General features: G+C 39.7%; 1 long non-coding RNA gene across 2 annotated transcripts; it reads right to left on the bottom strand.

Moving 5' to 3' along the window:
* Positions 1–1339: 1339 nt before the first annotated feature.
* LOC124906082 (uncharacterized) lies at positions 1340–21518 on the bottom strand. Of its 2 annotated transcripts, XR_007088690.1 has the most exons (3): positions 21269–21365; positions 13318–13369; positions 1340–7634 (listed from the first exon to the last, which is right to left on the bottom strand). It is a non-coding gene; the product is annotated as an uncharacterized LOC124906082 (long non-coding RNA). The 2 variants fall into 2 exon arrangements; XR_007088691.1 differs by lacking the exons at positions 13318–13369; positions 21269–21365 and adding an exon at positions 21385–21518.
* Positions 21519–24030: the final 2512 nt, after the last annotated feature.

The following is a 24030-nucleotide window of genomic DNA, read 5'->3' as shown; positions in this document are numbered from 1 at the left end:
CGGGGGGCTGACCCCCCCACCTCCCTCCCGGACGGGGCGGCTGGCCTGGCGGGGGGCTGACCCCCCCCACCTCCCTCCCGGACAGGGCGGCTGGCCGGGCAGAGGGGCTCCTCACTTCCCAGTAGGGGCGGCCGGGCAGAGGAGCCCCTCACCTGCCGGACGGGGCGGCTGGCCGGGCGGGGGGCTGACCCCCCCCACCTCCCTCCCGGACGGGGTGGCTGCCGGGCGGAGACGCTCCTCACTTCCCAGCCGGGGTGGTTGCCGGACGGAGGGGCTCCTCACTTCTCAGACGGGGCGGTTGCCAGGCAGAGGGTTTCCTCACTTCTCAGACGGAGCAGCCGGGCAGAGACGCTCCTCACCTCCCAGACAGGGTTGCGGCCCAGCAGAGGCGCTCCTCACATCCCAGACAGGGCAGTGGGGCAGAGGTGCTCCCCACATCTCAGACGATGGGCGGCCGGGCAGAGACGCTCCTCACTTCCTAGATGGGATGGTGGCGGGGAAGAGGCGCTCCTCGCTTCCTAGATGGGATGGCGGCCGGGCAGAGACGCTCCTCACTTTCCAGACTGGGCAGCCAGGCAGAGGGGCTCCTCATATCCCAGACGATGGGCGGCCAGGCAGAGACGCTCCTCACTTTCCAGACGGGGTGGCGGCCGGGCAGAGGCTGCAATCTCGGCTCTTTGGGAGGCCAAGGCAGGCGGCTGGGAGGTGTAGGTTGTACTGAGCTGAGATCACACCACTGCACTCCAGCCTGGGCACCATTGAGCACTGAGTGAACGAGACTCCATCTGCAATCCCGGCACCTCGGGAGGCCGAGGCTGGCGGATCACTCGCGGTTAGGAGCTGGAGACCAGCCCGGCCAACACAGCGAAACCCCGTCTCCACCAAAAAAAAACGAAAACCAGTCAGGCGTGGCGGCGCGTGCCTGCAATCGCAGGCACTCGGCAGGCTGAGGCAGGAGAATCAGGCAGGGAGGTTGCAGTGAGCCGAGATGGCAGCAGTACCGTCCAGCTTTGGCTCAGCATCAGAGGGAGACCGTGGAGGGAGAGGGAGACGGAGAGGGAGACGGAGCGGGAGAGGGAGAGGGAGAGGGAGAGGGAGAGGGAGAGCTACATTAAATTTTAATAATCATTTACACTCTCTGGTGGGATAAGAGGCTTCTTCCCCTTCTAATTTTCTTTATTCTTTCCTTTTCTTTTATTATTTATCCATTTATTCAATTTTTCGTAGAGACAAAGCCTTGCTATGCTGCCCAAGTCTCAAACTCCTGGCCTCAAGCAGTCTTCCTGCCTTGGCCTCCTAACATGTAGGGACTGCAGGTGTAAGCCACTACACTCAGCCATTCCGCTTCTAATTTTCTATATTTTTCAAACATCAGTAACAAATTTTTAGTACTTCTATGCATTAAGTGCTGGCAGCTTCTTTAAATGTAACCCAGACTACTTTATGACAGGCAGTAAAAATATGTGAAGGGGCTGCTGTATGCAGGTAGTCCATAGTAAGTATATTTGGGAATAAGTCTAGGAAGGGAATTGCGGCAATTCCTACTTTAATTCTTTTAAGCCTTACAGTTTTGATTGTGTTACAGCATCTCCAGCTTCAGGAATGAGTCCCGGTGTGTTAAATCGTTTAGGGTAATCCTGTTTCCTTAGCACCTTGATTGGTTGAGAAGTAGACTGATCCAGGGCTGAGCCAATCAGTGCATGACCTCCCTGGCCAAACTCATTGGTCGGGAGTGGTCCAATCTCCTTAGGGCTGGAATTTTGTTCCTGGTTTAGGGAAAAGCATCCTCTCTCACTCTGTGCATCCTGGAGGCTACCTTGAGAAGCTAGACCAGAGGCAAATACAAAACATAGTGGAAGGGACAACAGAAAGAATCATAGAAAAGCAGAGTCCTGTTTGAAGGAGACTGGACGCCAATCACAATGTCAAGACGTTTCACTTACCTGAAACAGTAAATCATCCTATCATTTGAGTAACAAGAGTCAAACCAAAGTATTTTACCTGATAACATAGAGAACATATTGGGTGTTTCTTATGTACCAGTTGTATTATACATGTTATTTCCTATAATCTACACAAAACAATGCTGTTAAGTTTTACTACTCTTTTTTTTTTTTTTTTTTTTTTTTTTTTTTGAGACGGAGTTTCGCTCTTGTTACCCAGGCTGGAGTGCAATGGCACGATCTCGGCTCACTGCAACCTCTGCCTCCCGGGTTCAAGTGATTCTCCTGCCTCAGCCTCCGGAGTAGCTGGGATTACAGGTGCTCGCCACCACGCCAGGCTACTTTTTATATTTTTAGTAGAGACAGGGTTTCACCGTGTTAGGCCAGGCTAGTCTCCCAACTCCTGACCTTAGGCGATCCACCTGCCTTGGCTTCCCAAAGTGCTTGGATTACAGGTGTGAGCCACCGTGCCCAGCCAGGTTTTACTACTCTGATTTTAAAATCAGGAACTAGTGATGGTGATTTTGGTGAACCATCCAAGGTCATAGACCTAGCAATAGTTTTGCTAATTTTTATTTTGCTAAGTAAGAACATTAAAAAAAACCTCATCATGTTTTGTCATAACAATTTCATAAAAGGAAGAATATTATAATAAAAAATTAAGATGACCTTAGTCCGAGAATAAAAGACAGCTCTCAAGAAAGGACTTTTGCCATCATCATGGATATTTTCCTCTGGACAGGAAAAAGTTCATCATGTGTAGGTGACAGGCCAGCTGCATAAAAAGTCATATTTTGATTCAGCAGGAATTGAGCAAGTTCTGGAAATGTGTTTTTTTTGAAACGAACTGCAGGTAATTCTGACAGGAAGCCAGGATGGGGAACTACTATTCTGGGAGACATAAAGTGTGCTTCCATTGGAACAGGTCCCTTTGCCTGCTTTCTCCAGAAGTTTCTTTCCTGTTCTCCAATCTGCTTCTATTTGCATTTCAGGCTGTATTCCTCACCTTGGCAGATCCATGAATCCTGTCTCTTCCGGTCTGCAGTTCTGTTAACTAAACATTACTTTTCTTTCTCTTGTTGCCTCAGTGATTACATTCAAGTTTGACTATTGTTTTCTTACTCAGAACTACCCAGGGAAGAAAAGACTTCTCTCTGTGCCATTAACCATAAACTCAAAGAGGAAACAGTGGCATGACTATTTCCAAAGACCTCAACCTGAGACTTCCCTGGAAGGTGGGGAGTAATTCAACCTGATAAATAATTTACGATTGTAACCTTTGTCAATAATTTTATTTGAATATATTATATTCCTTGGGAGAATATTAGATTGCATTTTGGGAATAGATTTAATGATTCCTATGAACTGAAGATAATCATGATAATATGGTCCATGTCACTAAAGAATTGTCTGAGAGTTGATTGACACTTTCTGTGTTCTTTTTTCCTCCTCAGTTTCCAATAGCCAGAGACTTATTATGTTAATTTCCAGAGCCCAGCTGTTGTTCACTTTCCTCTTTTTCTTTTTCTCTCTAGCTCTTTCCCTCTGCCCTCTCTCCTTCCTCCTCTGCCCTCTCTCCTTCCTCCTCTGCACGTTGCTTCTGCTACTGACATTTCTAGCATACATCTCTCATTCAGTTTCCCTTCTCAAGGTGAGGAGATCTAATTTTGTTGGTTTGTCTTTACCCAATATGGTGAGTTCTTACTGGGACAAATTTGGGTTCAGGTACTGGTTTCTTGGCCTGATCAACAATGATTAGGGTAGCAGGACTAGTTTCACTGCAAGCATTCAGCCTCTTTTCTCCAAAGGTTTTAGTGGGCGAAGTGTAGCTGAAAAATCTTCTGGGGCTCTATAACCCATTGAGTACAATCTAGCTTAGCAAAATGCAGAAAACTCCCCAGCCAAGGTTTAGCTAGGGGGAGAGAGAGAGAGAGAGAGCACGTGCGCGCAAGCACAAAAAGACATTCTAAGTAATGACTGCTCTCTCCTTTTTCTTTAATATAGAGAAATGTCTGGATATTCTCAGTCATGTATGGCGGGAAAGCCCAGACAGACATTTATTTGCTTCTTTAGCAATTTCAGAATGAATGCCCAAAGGTATGAGAACTTGACTCCCTGCTTCCATGTTGTCTTTATGGCACGAGGTCTGCTGACCTCTGCAGTCATCTCTCACTAATCTACATGTACAGAATGCCCAGCTGTAACGAATTATTTGCCTTTGATTGTTCAATACACTTGCAGAAGCAGCTCTCTCTCTCTGCCTTTTCAACCTTTCTCAACTGTATTACCTGTCGGCTTCTGTTGAATTCAACATAAGCAAGATCTCCTCCATGAAACTTCATGAGTGTGGTTGTTAGCCCGCTGTGGCAGGCTCTATTCCTTGCCATCACAAAAACCATTCCTCTATCCACTCTTTCAAGTGGAGGCCCCATTTGTTCAGAAATCAGGCAAGGATTTTAGTTCTCAGGAAAGGTAGCTTCGGCAGCTGGTCTAGGAACTGTCATGGGACAAATTAAGAGGCAATAAGATGTAAAGGGAAGTTTGTTGGAGGAGTTTGTTGGAGGATAAGTGTTTTTATCTCCTTGATAAGAGAATATAAGCAAAAAGAGAAACTCACCTGTCCACACCACCTCCTGCTTCTAGCACACCTGACCTAGCAAAAGCACACTTGCTAGGACAGGTGTGCTAGGACACTTTTGCACTGCAGCCATCATTCGACTTTGACAGGAAGGTCATTGGAATTGCAAAGATGGCACTCTTTATGTCATTGAGCCACTGAGCCCCAATTTGTTGAAGCACTGCTAATTATTTTGTTGCTTACCACTGAAAGCATTCCTAACTGTTAACCTCCTCTGTGCGCATAAATGCAATCACTGAAGTATCCCTGTCATGTCCTCAGAATCAGTTTTGCCTGAGAGTGAAAACGTCTTCACTCTTAAACAGTACCATATTACTGACAACAGGAAAACATCTATAATTGGTGTATATTTGGACACACAGTCACTATGCCAATAAAAATAAGACAGCTACACTGGCAAAAGGATCTCATCCTATCTTTGAGTTGTAGAGTTTAGTATAAACCCATATTGACCAAGCAAATTGTCTTTGCAGTATGCCTGCATACAGAAATACTAGAAGGAAAACTTCTTTCAACTGAGTAGAAATAAAAATAATTTCTGATCTAATGATTTTCATAGTCTCCCAATAAGAAGACCAAACCTCACATTATGAGAGCCAAAAATCATCCATCATCAGCTATATATGTTTCTTGGTCTACATTATTTCTGTCCCAGACACTGGAAGTCTGGACTTCTCCCAGAGAAGAGAACTGTCATCCTGTCACATGATTGCAATTGGCAAGTCTTACCAAGAAAGTTTGGCAGATCCTTAGAACAGGACTAACATATGTTTTATATATGTGTGGGTAGGTGTATATATAGCCATCCATCTACATACATATATGTATACTTATTTATTTATAAGCTCTAGTTAAAGTTAGAAAAATTAATTTAGATGCATATGGATAAGTCACACAAATTAGCACTAGTTTAAAAGGAATTAGTATAATCCTAAAAGAAATCATTTTGATTTTGTTAAAGTAAAAATGCCAATGCAAATTTTAAAAGCGGAACATCATGTTAATAACTTTTATCTTTAGATTATTGCTCATTTAGAGCAATGATTCACTCACTCATGCAACAAGTGTTTATTAAACACCAACTACAAAGACTTATAAGACACAAAGTCCTTGCCCTGGTGAATCCTATGGTCTAGTTGTAGACACACACACACACACACACACACACACACACACACACACACACACAGAGTCATTCATTCATTCATTCGTTCACTCACTCAAAGATTATTATTGAGGACTTTCTTCGCCTATCATGTGTGCTGAGATTACAGACATGAAAAGACAGAAGACACTTGCACTCCCAGAGCTTATGTAATATGGGGGGAGGTGGAGAAAAACAGTAAACAAACATTAACATATACACACATAAGAGAGTGATAAATGCAATGAAGAGACTTCAAATTGAATAATATGATAAAAAATAACTGAGCTGCTACTTTTAAATGGGTGGACGAGGAAGACCCCCTGGGAAAACATTTAAGCTGAGACACAGGAGACCGCTGGAAAAGGATGGAAGGTGAAGTGAAGGTCTTTTTGCTGCTCTTTTTGCTATTATTATTGTTTTAGTTGTCAGTGTGTTTGTGTGTGTGTAAGAAAGGAATTATTAGAACTGGTATATGACAATGGGAGTGATTGAGGAAAGAAGTGATGATTCAGGGAAGAATGAGCAGAGAATTGAGAAACAAAACCTTTAATAAGGTGAGGGGGGCATGAATTCCAGAGTAAAACCAGAGAGTGTACCAGTGACAGCAGCAGAGACAGTTGCTCTACAATAAATTGAGCAGGCAGAAAATAGGTATAGAGTGAGGAGGATAGATAATATTTGATTGGAAAGGTGAGGGAATTCTTGTCAAACTACTTCTATTTTCTCAATGATTTATGAAGCAATGTTATAAGCTGAGACTATGAACAGTAAAATGGGTCAGGAGATTTAAGGAGTTAAGACATGAGGTGAAATTATCATTTTGGAAAGTGGGAATGCAAAAGTCCTACAGGTTTAATAATACTGCTCTTGACTACCCACTTGAGATTTATAGCCAGAATTTAAAGTGATGCTAGCAAGCATACGTTTTTGTCTTCACCAGTGTTCAGTTGTGTTGTTGCATGGGGACCATTGGGTATAAGAGGGTTGCAGCTCGGCTAAGGTGAAGGAGGGTGGCAGAGGCAAGGGAGTGAAGGGTGTTATCAAACAGTGGCTTAATAATGTATTACAGAGTCTAAGGTGAGTGAATAAGGAAGGGAGTACCTGAAGAGGACAGATTGATAGTGATTCAGTCATAAACTCACCAGATTAGAGAGTCTTAATAAAGGCAAGATATTGTTTGTATAGATATTCTTGGTTTAGTGAGCTTTTAGGATAGAAGACAATAGTCAAAGAATGGGATGCTGGTACTAGAGATACTGGAGATGATGGACTTATTGATGATTACAAGGTCAGAAGTATGACCTTAGACAGGAGTGGATAGCTGATGGTCGGTGAAGAATTATATCATTCTATTGTAAGGTGGGAGGATCTGGAAACTGGAGTCTAAGGTATTAGATGTAATATTTGAGTGGGCATTGAAGTCAGAAAGAAGGAAGTGAGTGAGAATAACATCAGAATAATAATGAAAAAAGCCCCAATGAGCCAGGTGCTAAATTTATCAAAGAATAAAGTTAACTGAATTCTCTAGATGACAGCAACAAGGAAGGGGAATAGGTGCCAAAGTCTGATGGCACAGGGCCAGGTGTGATGGCTCATGTCTGTAATCTCAGCACTTTGGGAGTCCAAGGCAGGAGGACTGCTTGAGGCCAGGAGTTCAAGACCAGCCTGGACAACATAGTGAGATCTCATCTTTACAGAAACCCAAAAAACTCTGATGGCACAACTTTAACAGAGCCTGGGGTTTGGAAGGATGCAGGAAGACAACAGGTCTGAAAATGGCACTGGAGAACAAGAAAAGCACTCACCCCACAGCTTGGTCTGGTTACGTAGGATGCAAAAGAAGAACAGATTCCACCGCATATGACTGCAACAGAATTGATTTCAACAGGGCACAGCCAGGTTTTACCTAGAGCAAGAAAGGAAAGGGAACATTCAAGATGATGTTGAGGATGCAGTCACACTTGTTGATGATGGATTGGCAGCTGTAGATGGCTGAGAGGAAGGGGTTGGGATGGCAGAAGTGAAAGAGTAGGTCAGATGAGTAGATATACATAGTAGTGCAAGAACGAATATCTAGGCTAGGGGTCAGCAAATTGTTTAAATAAAGGGAAAGATAGTAAATATTTTAAGCTTTGTGGGTCATATGGCCTCCGTTTCAAGTACTCAACTCTGCCTTTTACTTTACAAATTTTTATTTATTTATTAAGTTTTTAAAGAGTCAGTAAGCATCTGTAGGTCTTGGACCCCAGCGGGGAGATTGGACAGATGGAGAGTCTAGCATGAGGAGAGTCTAACTGCTTGAGCTAAAGCCAACCCTCTGCGTTTTTAGAGTGAAAGCAGCTGTAGACGATATGTAAAGAAGTGGATATAGTTGTGTTCCAGTAAAACTTTATTTACAAAAATGGGCAGTGGATTCAATTTGGCTGATTTGACTCTGTAATAAACAGAGCTGGTAATGGAGTTTGGGCTTGTGATGATCAGTGAGGTAAAAAGCAGAAACATGGTTAAAATGGGAGTATTTGATACTCTCCTGGAGAAGGAGGATTGCCCATTTAAGAAAGAAGTTGTGAAGCTACCAAACATCTGCTGCTCCCAGATGTCGTAGCCAGGGATAAAAAAAAAAGATCTTGACATGGAACTGCTGTGACTTCTTGACCAGGAGCAGAAATTTTGGTGAGAATATCTGCTTTTGAGAGGCCCCAGTGTAACACAAGATGCGGCTCTCATCTAGAGGCTTGGGACCATTTCTTTCCCAGGATGCTCGTATTGTTGACTCCAATCAGTTGACTACAACTAAGAGGGAAAGGGCAAGGTACAAACACTTGGAGTTTCTAAAGAAGGAAGACACAAGCACTGGTAAATATGGAAACAGGAAAGATTTTCTTACTCAGTCCATGTCTATATCCTAAAATGCAGTCGCTAAGGAGGTTAATTTGGCTTTCTCTAATATCTAAAAATGATTATACAGCTTTCAATCAAGCAGACTTTTAGATTTTGTGAGACATCAAACTGTCTCTTTGAGAGACTGGTGTTTTGCACCAGACAAACTTAGAGTCACTAGTCAGTCATTATGACAGAGGCTTGAACTCAACCTGTATTAACAGTTTTAAAAGATCCCTGGATTGAATTTACCTCAAATGCTAAGTAAACTTTGCACTTGAAGATGGCTTCTTGGATGCCCATTTTTAATGATTCTTAAATAACAGGTATTCACGCCCATTTCTGAAAGATTTTTAACTCCGACATCATTAATTATCCCCTACCAAATTGGTCCACACTTCTGGTCCAATTTGATATTTTGTTGATATTATTAAAACAGCTTAATAGTAAGCTGTTGATATTATAAAAACTGCTGTTTAATGATACTGTTTTGTTGATATTATTAAAACAGCTTCTTCAAATGTTTAAATTATTTCCCGATAATAAGCAAGGTTGTAATTTATAGGAAGACATGAAGTCTTTTAGACCCCTGGGGTACAATTTGGCACACTTTTCTAGTCATCTGAAGGTATCTAATATTCTTCTTGATAGTAAATTAGGCCCTAGGATACTGGTTTATTGCTTATAACTTGTGAGATTTCTGTTACAGTGATGACAAAAGAAATGGTCCCATCTTTCAAGAGAATACTTCATTTGATTTTAACTGAAGAAAAACACAAGAATGGTTTAATACAACTGAAGTACATTAGTGTGCAAATCTTTTTTCTTTGTTGGAGCTATTTCTACTTTATGGGACATATATATTCTATTAAACACATTTCATGGTGATTGAATAAAACTCTACATTGATTTAGCAATGATTATATGTCTGTGCTATACACTGTTGGGAAAACAAAGCTGAATAAGGCTTGATGCTTTACATATCCTTGGTTTACTTAGGTTTACATTTCCTTTGTATAGGGTGCAAGTACAAATATATGTGACCTATATTTGAGACCAATAAAAAGCAATGTTTCAATTTTACAAATGTTTGAATTACATAATTTCAATTACATAAATAATAATAGCAGTTCGTAATTATTGGACCCTTCATATTACTTAACATTAATGAATTTATTTCTCACAACAACCCAACGAAGTGGGTACCACTGTCCTATCTTAGAGGTAAGTAAATCATCACTGACAGCCAGTAAGGGATAGAGTTTAGCTTCAAAACTAGGTCTGTCTGACTACAAAGCCCTTGATCTTAATCTCTATCTCATTATGCTTCAGAAACACATTTTAAGCTGGGTAGAATCAATAAGTAAAAGCCAGTTATTGTAAAATATGGATTTTTGCCATTCTTGACAGACAGAAAGATGTGACATTTTGACTGCTAACAATAGGTCTTCAAGAGTTCTTCTTAAAAATGCAAATCTATATTCCTAAAAGGAAAACATATTTTAAAAAGTAAATACTTCTAGGCTCTTAACTTGTGTGCCCTTGCAAAATCTTAAAAGAATGGGATAAAGAACAGGGAAGTTTTGATAAGGTTAAGGAGTAACAGGTATGGAATAAGGGAGAGGCAAACTTGAGCAGGAGGTGGGTAGCGGGTAATACCTTCAAGAAACAGGCAGCACAAAAGAACTGAGTATCTGTGGTGGGAACTCCGAAATGGAGACAAGATGAAAAAAAGCTAAGACAAGATTTTATAGCTATATACTTTTGCATAAGGCCAATATTGCTGCCTCTAAAAAACATCCAATAGTATACCATTAGCAAGTACAATAAAATAAACTTGTATGAATTTAAAAGTGTAGTAGCTTCCCTAAGCAGGGACTGAGATGTAATATCTATTGTCAAAGAGTTTATAATCAAGGAAGCATTTTTTCTCTCCTTCACACCTATTTGTTCCACCATTCTTTATATAATGTTAGATTTTACCCATGATCACCTGTAACATGGCTCTGAATTAGCATTATACCCAGAACAGGGCTGCTAATATAATCAATTACTAATTAGTTCTGTTGCTCCTTTTCATTGCAATCACATTCTTAAGAGTATAATAGTTATCAATATATGACTCATTCATAAAACATAAATGTAATTTTAGTTAAATGCTTAGTTGCCATCATTGTAACGCTAATAATTGTAGGAATGATGAAGATATAATAATAAACCTAAATGGTTTTAGGGTTAGAGATGAGCTTAAAAATGGTATCTTCATGATCTGCGTTTATCCTACATCAATAATTTTGCATGAAATTTGTTCAATTTACATATCAAAAATAGATTTTTCTGTCAGCAAAGTAAGATCAGTCTTGTATCTGAAAATCAAGCACAGCTTGTACATCATCATTAACCATAAAGACTCTGAAATCAGAACTTAGCTGCCAATTTTGTTGATGATGCATAAGACGAAATCGAGTACAGCTGGCTCTTCTGTCCTGTGCTAGCTCTGCAGTACTGACATTAGTGAAAAATCTGTTTGTTTTTTGTTTCAGGAAATTAAATAGCTATGACTAAAATGAAGCACAGAGAACAGATATATCTGGGTAATAACCAGGTGCCATTTTATTTTTATTTTTTTCTTGCAGGTTCATTTGATTATTGCAACACTAGTTGAGTTTGACCAATTGTAATGATCTCAAATAATACATTTTTCAAAACGACCTCCTAGAGGAGTCCTTTTTTAATAAATGGGGACCAAACAATCCAAGTCATTTATTTTTTTTAATTAATTTTTTGAGACAGAGTTTTGCTCTATTGCTCATATTGGAGTGCAGTGGTGCTCACTGCACCACTGTGGCTCACTGCAGCCTTGACCTCCTGGGCTCAAGCAATTCTCCCACCTCAACCTCCTGAGTAGCTGGGACTACAGGCAAAAACCACCACACTTGGCTAATTTTTAAATTTTTTTTGTAGAGACAGAGTTTCTGTGGGTTGCCCAAACTAGTCTTGAACTCCTGACCTCAAGCCATCTTCCCACCTTGGCCTCCCAAAGTGTTGGGATTATAGGCATGAATCACCTTGCATGGCCCTCCTTTATAATTTAAAGTCCATCATAAGTAACTACAATTTTCTCAGTGATTCCTTCTAGTAGAGTATCTATAAGCAAATTTTACATTAAAAAATAGATTTAACTTCTGACATGTCAACTGGCTTTTCAGAATGGTACTTTGTATGATTTAAGGCCGAACTTTAAAGTCTTCCTTGTAGAGAAACAAGCCAATTTCTAGATATTGCCTTCAGATGAGGAAATGAGAAAATTTTCAATAAGGCAACATTAAGTTAATGGCATAAAACTAAATTCTAAATCCTTAAATCTATTGGAAGTTTGGTGAATCAAGAAGATCCTTACCTCTTTTCCCACCAAGCATGAACTATGCTATACCAGCTCAGAGTGAGGATTGCACAATATTAACCACCACCACTTCAAGAAATTCTGTTAAAGCAATCTTGAAATTTTTTGTGAAGACACAAAAAGATGAGAGCAAGAGGAGATAACAGCAACAGAGCTTTGAAAACTGAAAAGGAGATGAATGAAACCTGACTGCCCTTGCAGACCTCAGAGAGTGGAAACCAAGTTGGTAATGGCGAAAGCTGAGAAGCATCTCCATTAATACAAAAGAATCCTCAAAAGTTTCAAGAAATCCTAAGACAAGATAATTCTGGAACTGAAAATGAAGCAAGGATGACCACTGCTAAAACAGGAAGGAGTAGGTGAAAGCTGACTCAGATGTAGTCATCTCCTTATTGTCTTTCCCAGCTCCATGCCAGTAGGAGATTAACTCTCCTAGTTTGGTCATAAGTCTGTGGTTTTATTTTCTGGAGAAGTGTACAGTACTGCTTCTGGACTGAGGAAGGATACAAATGTCTGAAGACCTGAATATTCTATTGAAAACATTCTGTTATTTCCCCTTTCCACACTCAGAACCCAGGACACTCCGTCTCTAGCGTGGGATCTCTACCCTTGAGGGAAGAGATAGGTAGATTTTTCTTTGGTTAAACCGAACAGCCTGTGGAAAGACATCAACATACTGTTAACAAGGATACCCAAAAGTCGTCCCAGTTCATCTTGCAGTAAAGCTCAAGGTTACTGAGCCTCATAGGCATGCAGAACTCCCAATTAGATTTTTAGTTTTCATTCTGAAGAGCAGAAAATCAAGAATTACAAGAAATCTGATGAAAACTTCTAACATGGAAAGGGAGACCAAAGTAAACAATCAAATGCAACTTGAGGAAATGGCTACCATGCAAAGAAAAATAAATTTTAAAAATGTGTACATACATATTTTAATATACACATATATGTACATACATACCATTCATATCCTTAGAGAACTAAGAAAAGATATTACAGCTTTGATAAGAGAAAAAAGTATAAAAATGGAACACAGAACAAGAGAACTCTCAAAAAATAAAAATATATACAATAGTACAAATAAAACTATGATACATCAATGTTAATTGCAGCATTATTTACAATAGCCAAAACACAGAAGCAACCCAAGTGTCTATCAACAAATGAATTAATAAAAAACGTGATACAGTTGTCCCTTGGTATCCATGGGGGAATTGGTTACCAGGGATCTCTCAAGGATTCCAAAGTCCATGGATTCCCAAGTTCTTCATATAAAATGGTGTAAGTCAAATGCAGTGGTACACACCTGGAGCTACAGCTACTTGGACTGGAGGCCGAGGCTGGAGGATCTCTTGAGCCTAAGAGATAAGGCTATAGTAAACTTTTTTTTTTTTGAGACTGAGTCTCATTCTGTCTCCCAGGCTGGAGTGCAGTGGTACGATCTCGGCTCACTGCAACCTCCACTTCTCTGGTTCAAGCAATTCCCCTGCCTCAGCCTCCCGAGTAGCTGGAATTACAGGCACATACCACCACACCCAGCTATTTCTTCTTTATTTTTTTATTTTTAGTAGAGACGGGGTTTCACCATGTTGGCCAGACTGGTCTCGAACTTCTGACCTCAGGCAATCCACCCGCCTCCCAAACCCCAAACTGCTGGGATTACAGGCTTGAGCCACTGCGCCTGGCCTATAGTAAACTATTAATATGATTGTTCCACTGTGCTCCAGCCTGGGCAACAGAGAGAGACCTCGTTTCTAAATAAATAAACAAATAAAAATTAAAATAAAAAATAAAATGGCATAGTATTTGCATATAAACTACACAATCTTCCAATAAACTTTAAACAATTTCTAGATTACTTATAATACCTAATACAATATAAATGCTGTGTAATTTGTTACTATACTGTATTGTTTAGGGAACAGAGACAAGAAAAAAGTCTTTACGTGTTCAGTACAGATGTCATTGTTCTTTGAATATTTTTTATGTGGGGTTGGTTGAATCTACATGTGGAACCCACAGATATGGAAGCCCAACTGTACACACAGTGGAATATTATTCAGCCTTTAAAAAGGCAGTAAATTCTGACACATGCTACAACATCGATGCATCTTAAAGACATTATGCTAAATGAAATGAGCCAGTCACAGGAGGGCAAAAAGTGTATGATTTCACTTACATGAGTTACATAGAGTAGTAATCAAATTCATAGAGGCAGAAAATGTTGGTTGCCAGGGGCTGAAGAAGAGGGGAATTTGAAGTTTTTGTTCAACTGATACAGAGTTTCAGTTTGGGAAGATTAAGAAGTTCTGGAGATGCATGGTAGTGATGGTTGCACAACAATGTGAGTGTACTTAATAAGCCACTGAATCAAAAATGATAAAAATGGTAAATTTTATGTGTATTTTGCCACATTAAAAATAAATAAAATTTTGAATATATAAGAATGTAAGTTGGAAAATAAAATTGAGAAAATTTCTCAGCAAAAACAAAATGAGATGAAAAAGAATAGGGAAGAAATAGAAAAACTGGAGGCCCAGTCCAGGAGGTCCATCATTTAAAAAAAAAAAAAAAAAGGAATTTCAGAAAGGGAAAAATATATATATACAGACACTGGGGACAAAGAGAAGATCATGAAATTTTCCAGAGAGAAAACAAATTGAGTCAGAAATCACAATGAGGGCCAGGCAGGGTGGCTCACGTCTGTAATGCCAGCATGCTGGGAGGCTGAGGTGGACGGATCACTTGAGGTCAGGCGTTCAAGACCAGCCTGGGCAACATGGAGAAACCTTGTCTCTTACAAAAAATGCAAAAAATTGCCGAGCCTGGTGATGCAGGCCTGTAGTCCCAGCTACCCAGGAGGCTGACGTAGGAGCATTGCTTGATCCCAGGAGGTCAAGACTGCAGTGAGCCATGATCATGCCACTGCACTCCAGCCTCAGTGACAAACTGAAAAAAAAAAAAAAAAAAAGAAGGAGATCACAGACCACGATGTCATTGGATTTAACAGTAAGACGGGAGCAATGCCTATAAATTTCCCACCTAGAACTCTTATTATTGGCCAAATTATTAATCAGATGGCAGTTGGGAAGAGGGAGTGGTGGGTTGGGAGAATAAAGAGATTTTCAGAATGCAAGATCTCAAAAAATGTACTTCCCAGACACTCTTGCTTACTTTGAGGTTATTGGAAGATATATTCTGAGAGTGAGAATGCATGTAAGGGGGTGTAGGGAGACAGAGAGCCGGAAAGAACATTAAGAAAAAGAGGGTTACATGGGTTGGAGGAAACAAGATATCCCGCACAAGAGAAAGGGGAAGGGAATCCTTAGAGGAAGGTTAGGATTACAGGGTGCCTGTTCTTCAACAGGCATACAGGAGAAAATCTAGATTGGATCTTGTCAGAAATTTTGGGGCTAAGTACAGTGCAGGGCTATTTTTCTACAGCTCCCTTTCCTCCACACAGAACAGATGTGTATAGAGAAAATTAGTGGAATTTATTTTATCACGTTAAATGATGATGACACATGAGGCAATAAGAGTATATTTCTGTCTTAAGTGGTTACAATGAAGCATTTCAGCCAGCAACTTGGGAATAACCTTCTGATTTTTGTAGACTACAATACAGAAGAAAACACAAATTTGCACAAACAAATTAAATTATCCTATATGTACTTTCATGTGTGCACATGGGCATATGTGTAAGCTTGTGTGTGTGTGTGTGTGTGTGTGTGTTTGTCTGTGTATGTGTGTGTATAAAATCTCTGAAAGGATATATATGAAGTGGTAACATATTTGTTCCCGGGGAAAGGAAAAGTGTGGTTGGGCAAAGGGAGTATGAGGAAGACTGATTTTTCCAAATTTTATCCTTTTCTCTCTTTGCATTTTCAAAATCACAGTTAAAAAGGAATAAATTACATTCCTTAAAAATGACAATACATACCTTTAATAAAAATACTTTACTTCTAAGAAGGTATTCCAAAGAAATACCTACCCATAAGCAAAATGATATAGGTGCAAGGATACCTCTGTCCTAGCAAAAGATTGGAAACAACTTAAGTGTCCATCTACTTGGTACTGAAATAAATTATGTACATTCTTGCAATGGAATAGTATGTAACCAGAAAAAAATTTAAAAGCTCTTTATGTGCTTATACTATCCCCAAGAGAAGTTGTTTAAACGAAATAGACAAGATGCATACTCAAACATATATGTGCTTCTATATACATAGACTATCTCTGTGAGAAAATACAAACATTTTATAACATTGGTTTAGACTGGAAAGAGCTGGATGGCAGGGGAACAAAGATACCATAGAAATTACACTCTGTATAAAATTTTGTTATCATTTGAATTTTGAGCATTTGAATATGTTGCCTTTGAAAATCAAATTCAGTTACAATTTTGAAAATGTGGGGCATTTTTAAATAGCCTAGATTATTTTCATCTCAATTCTTTCTTTTTTCTCTATTGCAAAGCCAGTATGAGGATCTTTCATCTAATAATAACACTCTGGTCGTAGTTCTGCAATGCTTAAGAAATAAAATCTGTTACTCCTGCTGGGATCAGAACAGTTGTCAGCATATGTGGGCATCAGTGGGTGAAGAGCTCTTGAATGTAAGGCATGTAAACTAAATACCAAAGTTGAATGTATTAAAAGTCATTGTTGATATAGGAGAAATCTTATATCAATGATATTTATGAAGACATCTGTCATGTAGTTCTCTATGATACAGATGAGGACAAGACTCTATATACCAGCCTTATGCTATCCATTCGATCAACATAGACTAGAGATACGAAAAGAGAGGGGTAATAGGAATTCCAATTAGATTTCAAAGCTATATCTGGGTCCCTTTACAATGGCATGGATACAGGGAGATGTTGTTAGGTTCTTCATTTCTCTTCTATGTATTTATAACTCTGCCCATTATGTGTATTAGAAATTCAGGCATAAACTTAACTTCATAGAAGATTTTTGAAAATGCCGTAAATAACTACTTTTCAGAAAATTAAGTGGGCTGTGTGTGCCATAAAGACCGTGATGTAACTATGATGATATGGTGTAGAGACGAAGAGTCCTGCCTATGAATTCTACAACTAATGTGTCAGGACAAATCCATTTGTATCCAAAATTTGCATTCATTAACCTCACCATGCTCTCTATCAGATGCCATATTACCATCTCTCCTCACCCAGATTCATCTAGGACCAGAAATATCTGACAGAATTATAGAATTATTAAAGATGCATATCCCACAACCCTTATTGATCACTATATGAACATTTACTTTCCCAAACAAAATTGACAGCTTTTCAAGGACATCACTGCTTTTACTGTGGTACCATCTGTCTCAATACTGAAAACTTGGGTAATCTTTAAATGGGTAAATCTTTAAATGGAATCCTCTTAGCATGACAAATACTTTAATGGCACTTCTTAATTGAACAAAATAACACATCTTTAATGGTTCTACAAAAGGCCTAATTCACTAGCTTTGAATACCTAAATCTTCAAATGAGAGGAGCAGCTTTCAATGGAAATCCTGAGGCCAATAAACAGGCAGAAAGGTTTTTACAGGTGGTATTAGCAGAATACTGGGAAGGGAAATGAGCCAGGGCTCTTTGTTTTTGTTTCGTTTTGTTTTGTTTTTGAGACAAGGTCTTGCTCTGTTGCTCAGGCTGGAGTGCAGTGGTGAGATCATGGCTGACTGCAGCCTCGACCTCCCCGGCTCAAGCAATCCTCCATCAGCATGTAGCTGGGACTACAGGCACACGCCATCACACCCAGCTAATTTTTGTATTTTTTGTAGCGATGGGGGTTTCTCCATGTTGCCCAGGCTGATCTAGAATTCCTTGCTCAAGCGATCTGCCCTCTTAAGCCCCTCAAACTGCTGGGATTTATAGGTGTGAGCCACTGCAACTGTCCTCAGGGCTCTTTAGAAAGACAACCATAAAGAAGGTGTTCAGCAGGAACAGGCCAGAGCAAGGAGGGAGAGACTGATGATAAGAGGCAACATAGGCATTGTTGCCAAAGTCCAGGTAAGAAACAATGAAAGTTAAAGGAAGAGGAAAGAAACGGCCACTTTTTTTCCCTTTGGTAGAAGTGGCAGTTGTGGGTGGTGTTTAAAGGTAGAATTGACAGGAAGCTCTGATACCCTTGAGAACAAACTTTTTTTTTCTTGTTTTGTTTTCCCTGCCTGTTCCTGAGTTTTCTGAGCATCCACAGCTCAATTATAGTCCGCATTTTCCTCCATGCTCCTCTGCAGGCTGCTGCACACTTCCCTGCTACTTGCCAGAATTCTCCCCAGTAGGACACTGGGGTCACAACATTGTGCAGAAGATTACACTTCCCTATGTTGGTAAAAACTGTCCACTAAGTCAACAGTCCCCCACGTTTTTGGCACCAGGGACTGGTTTCATGGACAATTTTTCCACGGACCTGCGGTCGGGGGTATGATTTAAGCACATTGCATTTATCATGCACTTCATTTCTATTACTATTACATTGTAATATATAATGAAATATATATTGAATATAATATATATTCAATAATATAAATATAATAATGAAATAATTATACAATTCACCATAATGCAGAATCAGTGGGAGCCCTGAGCTTGTTTTTCTGCAACTAGATAGTCTCATCTGGGGATGATGGGAGACAGTGACAGATCATCAGGCATTAGATTCTCATGAGGAGTGCAGAACCTAGCTTCTATGAGAGTCTAATGCTGCTGCTGATCTGACAGGAGGTGAAGCTCAGGCCTTACTGCCAGCAATGGAGAGTGGCTGTAAATACAAATGAAGCTTTGCTGGCTCTCCCTGCTGCTCACTTCCTGCTGTGCAGCCTGGTTCCTAATAGGCCATGGACTGTTAGGCCTTGGTCTGTGGCCTGGGGGTTGGGGACCCTTGCACTAAATAAAACTTTCCCAGTAGTTAAAGAACAGCAAAAAACTGAACATTTTCACAAAGATGCCCTTAAAAGTATACTCTGATTGCTAGTCAGGCTTCCTTGTCTCAAGGTCCACTATTGTGTATGTACCTTCCTCTTCAAAAGCATCTTTCCTCTTTTCTCTATGGTATGTATCTTTAAAACTTTATGGTAGTTTATCTCATGGAGGGTCCAGCCCCCTTTCTCAATCAGCACAACCCACAGGACATTATGTTTAGCAATACCTTTCCCAAAGTCTTAGGTAGGCACAGAAAAATAAATAAATAAATAATAAATAAAAATAAATAAATAAAATAAAATAATAAAAATAAATAAAAAATAAACAAAATAAATAAAATAATGCCACAGAAAAACTCTCTCATAGCACAGTCTCTGTAGAGTTTTCATTCCAATTCTTGCCCATTGGTAGCAGTGAAGATTTGCCACCTAATTCTTCTTGATCATCTATGGGATTCTACTTACATATATATCTCAAGGGCAAATAATTATCACCAAAGACAATTCATATTAAAGAAGAAAAATATCTCCCCAAATATAACATAGTCTGTACTGAGTCAATCCTAAATGGAGATAACTGGATACATTTTCATGCAGATTATTGTCCATTTCCACAATATTCATTCTCCTGCTTCTAAGCATGCCCAGATTCCTTCAGGTCTATAAGAAATAGGATCCATCTGTAACCTTTTCATGTGACAGCAACTCCCTTCCTACACAAAGATGTTGAAATTGTGGGATTACTAAAGATCATGGATATGAACGTGTGTGTATGTACGTGTGTGTGTTTGTATAAAATGGGTGGAGAGTCATTTTTCAGTTATATTTAGCTTGGCTCTTTAAGGTATCTGAATTTATTTACTATTTGAACTAATGTTTGGGTTCTTGGCGATAATAAAATATTATGTAATCACAAATAGTGTGTAGATCTGAGAAGCACTCTGACATATGAATAAAATGCTTAAAGAGAATAGAAAGAAGGTCTTTAACTTAGAAAAAGAAGATAGACAAATTTAAAGAATAAAGATTCTTAAACTTTGTGATACATTACTATACTTATGCAAGTATAAAATACAGAATGCTATCATGTGATGAGTTCTGATGAAATTAAAAAATTTATTCTCGTAGAATCTATAATTTTGCTATTCCTGCGAAACATATTTTACCTCACAGGATTAGGTGAATTCTAAGTTCCCAGCTATAAAAATGTATGAATCTCTTTGCTTCCACAGCCATTCATTAAATGTATTTGATTATTTATTTCCACCAGGCATAATTATTTATAGCTTAATGGCCAGGAACCTAAAAAATTCCAAGATGAATTGGAGAGCATTCCTGCCCTTGTGGCGCTCAGTCTAGTAGTAGAAGAGCTAGATAAATAAACAGAAAAACATTGGAAATAGAAGGATGTACAGAGTGTGACACAAGTAAATGATCCATTTTAGAGTATGTGCATGGGAGGTATGAAGTGCAGGATTGTGTCATTGTTAGGTAAAACAAAAAATTTCGCGGAAGAGGGGGCCAGACACAGTGGTTCATGCCTGTAATCCCAGCACTTTGCGAGGCCAAAGTGGGTGAATCACTTGAGCCTAGGAGCTCAAGACCAGCCTGGGCAACATGGTGAGACGCTCCCCCATCACTACAAAATATACGAAAATTAGCTGGGTGTGGTGGCATGTGCTTGTAGTTCCAGTTACTCAGGAGGCTGAGGTGGGAGGATGGCTTCAGCTTGGGAGGCAGAAGTTGTGGTGAGCCTAGATTGCACTACTGCACTCCAACTTGGGTGACAGAGCCAGACCCTGCCTCAAAACAACAACAACAACAACAACAACAAACAAACAAAAAACAAAAGACATTTCAGAGGCTGGGGCACTTGAGCTGGGCCTAGAAGGGTAGACAGTACTAGGAAGTACATTCCAGCCTAAGAAAAGAGCTCGTGCAGAGGTACTAATGCATGAAGCAGCACGGACAACTATTAGTTAACTAGGAGTAAAAGCTGGAGGTGGGGGTGCAGCAATAAAAAGGTGGAAGATATACAGGGAACAAAGGCTATTATGTTGAATGCCTCCTGCTTTGACTGCTGAATTTTCTGTAGTGGTGGTAAGAGGGTTTAATATGTCTGTGGTAAGAAGAGTTCCATCCTCCCTGGAAGTTTAAACAAAAGCAGGTACTCCAATTTGATTCTGACATGCCACACGTGTGATAATATTACAACTCCCTTTCCTTGGCCCAGTAGCAGTAAGTTAATAAATTGGTATCATATGTGTATGCACTGATATTGGTCAACAGCTAAGTTCTGTACTTACTATGCCTCACTAAGGCTTTGAACAGGTATTGGAGACAAGTGTATCAATTAGGATTCTATTTCAAATGACAGAAAATTCAATCCAAGCTAACTTCACCTAAAAGAGAACAAATTTACTCATATGATTTGAAAGTCCAGTGATCAGTCTAGCTCCAAAAACAGCTCAAAGGTCTTCAGCACCCAGTTTCTCCATCTTCATCTCCTGGATCCATTTTCTCTGTGTTGGCTCTGTTCTCCAGCAGGCTTGTGCCCTGTGGTGGCAATTTACATTTGTTCAAGTACAGAGAACAAAGAAATACAGAGATCCCTCCTGGTGGCTCCTGTACAAGTCTTGACCAGTCACTTTGGCTCCCTAGGGTGAAGACCGGTCAATGGAAAGAAGAACTAGTGCAATCTCTAGTACAGATGAGTAAGGTCTAGGTAGTATTTGTGTGATGATTTGTCTCCCGTGACACACCTGGATGCTAAAACCACAACCTCTTGGGATTCCTTTGCCAAGTGTACCCTGGCCTCTTCTTACTTGGGCTACTTCCCCAGTATCAGCTTCTAGTTCCTTGTTTCTCCCTCAGGAAACCTAATCGTTCTGTCTCTCTCCCCTTGTATGTGCCCACGGGAATCCTTTTAACAGTTTCAGAAAAATATTTTCCCCTTTGAAGCTTCTTCCAGATACTCTGGATTCTTTTTCTTAAGAATTTAGGATTTTATAAAACAAAGCCATAAATACTCATAGATCATTTTTGTTTGCATTTCCTTTTACCTCTTCTTGGGACAATGAACACCCAGTAGGAGATCTGCTTACAGGGGTGGAGAGGGAGGAGAGAAGCAATAGCAGAAAATACAGGGAAAAGAAAAATACAGACATGATGTAGATTTCAAAATATTATTCCAAGGAATCACATATATAATAAAGTTTCAAATTAGTAATGTAAGTGTCTTCTTCTTTCTCTCTCTCCTTCTCTCGTTTAAGATCTGAGGAGGCGGAGACCATTGGCAAACAAGCTAGTGAATGAGTAGGCCTCACAAATGTGTGATGTAAATTAAGCCTTGACAGGTATTATATGCCACCCTTCTTATTGGCATGGAATTTATGTCTCAGCCTCAGCTATGTATTTGCCCTGTTCTGACTTACGAGAAGTTATGTAATATTTTGTGTTTATAATTTTTAATATTATGCCCACAGGAAATTGATTTTTTAAAGTGTACTAGGTTTTATCCTGCTTTTCTGAGGACTGAACCCTTTATTAGCACTTCTAAGTAGCACATTTTAAAAAAGAATTCCTAGCAAAAGAAATTCAAGGAATAATCGAATTTTCCGTGTATACGGTCCAGTAATGCCTGTCAAAGGGATATATGGATTCAGGCTCCAACCAGGAAAACAGAAACTGCTCTGAGTATTTAACATAGGGAGAATTTAATTCAATAAATTTGTAAAACAGGTGAGAACAGAGCTAAGAAACCAAAAAAGGGACAGTTATTTTTCAAAAGGATGAAGGCACTGTGACTCCAAAATGGAAGAATAAAGGAAAGAGGCTGTGATACCGGGGCACAGGGTCAGAGGTCATGGATCACTTGGCCGGAGCTGGAGTGTGGCAGTGTGGTGGGGAACACCCTAGCTTTTCCTACCCTCCAGCTCTCCACTGTCCTCCTCCAGCTTCCCATTCAAACCCAGCTGGCAACCAGCTCACAAGGAAGCTTGGAAATGCAGCTTGCAGGGATTAGTGTCCCTGTGATATGGACCAGAGGAGGGGAAAGAAGAACCAGGAATGAAACCGAGGGCAAACAAGTCTAGGACCCTAAACCCACACAGAGGATTTTAAAAAATTCATAGTTAACAAATCCTAGTTGGAGGTTGATAATTTATACTAGAACAACAAAGTTGTTTGCAGTGGCTCCCATCAATGGGAGGATACCAAAGTCTGGGCAGCTTGAGGCATTACCCATTAAAATCAGGACAGCCTCATCAGAAGGGCCGGTTATGTGCGTATATGTCCACATTTTTAACTAATGTTGGGAGCCCTGTAATTTTCCTGAATTTAGTCACCCTTATTTTTAAGACACTGTCTGCCTGAATTTCTTGGCCTTTTAAATGAAGAAGGCTCCTACCTCTAAATCTGAGTTGTCTCTTTTCTTTCATTTGGAATACTGAGAATCCCTCATCACTTTTCTTGTTAACCTTCTATTTATTCATTTGAAGGTTGCTGAGATTTGCTTATACTATAACTTCAGTGATATTTTCCAAGATGAATTTTCATTTCAATCACCAAAACTCTACTGCACAGGATATGGTAAATATTTGTGCTCATTCCTTTGAAGCCTCAACCTGGCTGGCACCACTCTCTAAATATAGATCAGGATTAACTGAGTAATAAGGCAAGAGTTCACTGTAGTTTCTCTAATAAATTCTTCAATACTGTTGCTGTAGAGGAGTCTTTCAAAGGATTTAACCTCAGGTAGACAGAAACTTCAGAAGATTGGGAAATGTTCACATTCTAAAACATTCACTATGTTTGAAAAATTGTAACAAGCTTTATGTTATCAATGAGATCCAGATAAAATATTTTCCGTATTTTCAGTCCCCTATTTCACGAATTTCGTTATGATTTTTTTGTTTTTGTTAGTTTTGAGGAAACTGGTTGTTTTACTGTATTTCTACTGGTTCTAAAGCTAATCTTGTTTCCTCCCTCCCCTCTAAAATCGGGCATGTTTCAAATTTCGCCAATATATGCTAGTTCTCATCCTATTAAATTTTTAAGGGCAGGGATA

The sequence above is a fragment of the Homo sapiens genome, chromosome 2 (assembly GCF_000001405.40).
Source record: "Homo sapiens chromosome 2, GRCh38.p14 Primary Assembly".
Lineage (NCBI taxonomy): Eukaryota > Metazoa > Chordata > Mammalia > Primates > Hominidae > Homo > Homo sapiens.
Note: the sequence above shows the minus strand (reverse complement) of the source record. Positions and strands in the feature narration are given on the sequence as shown.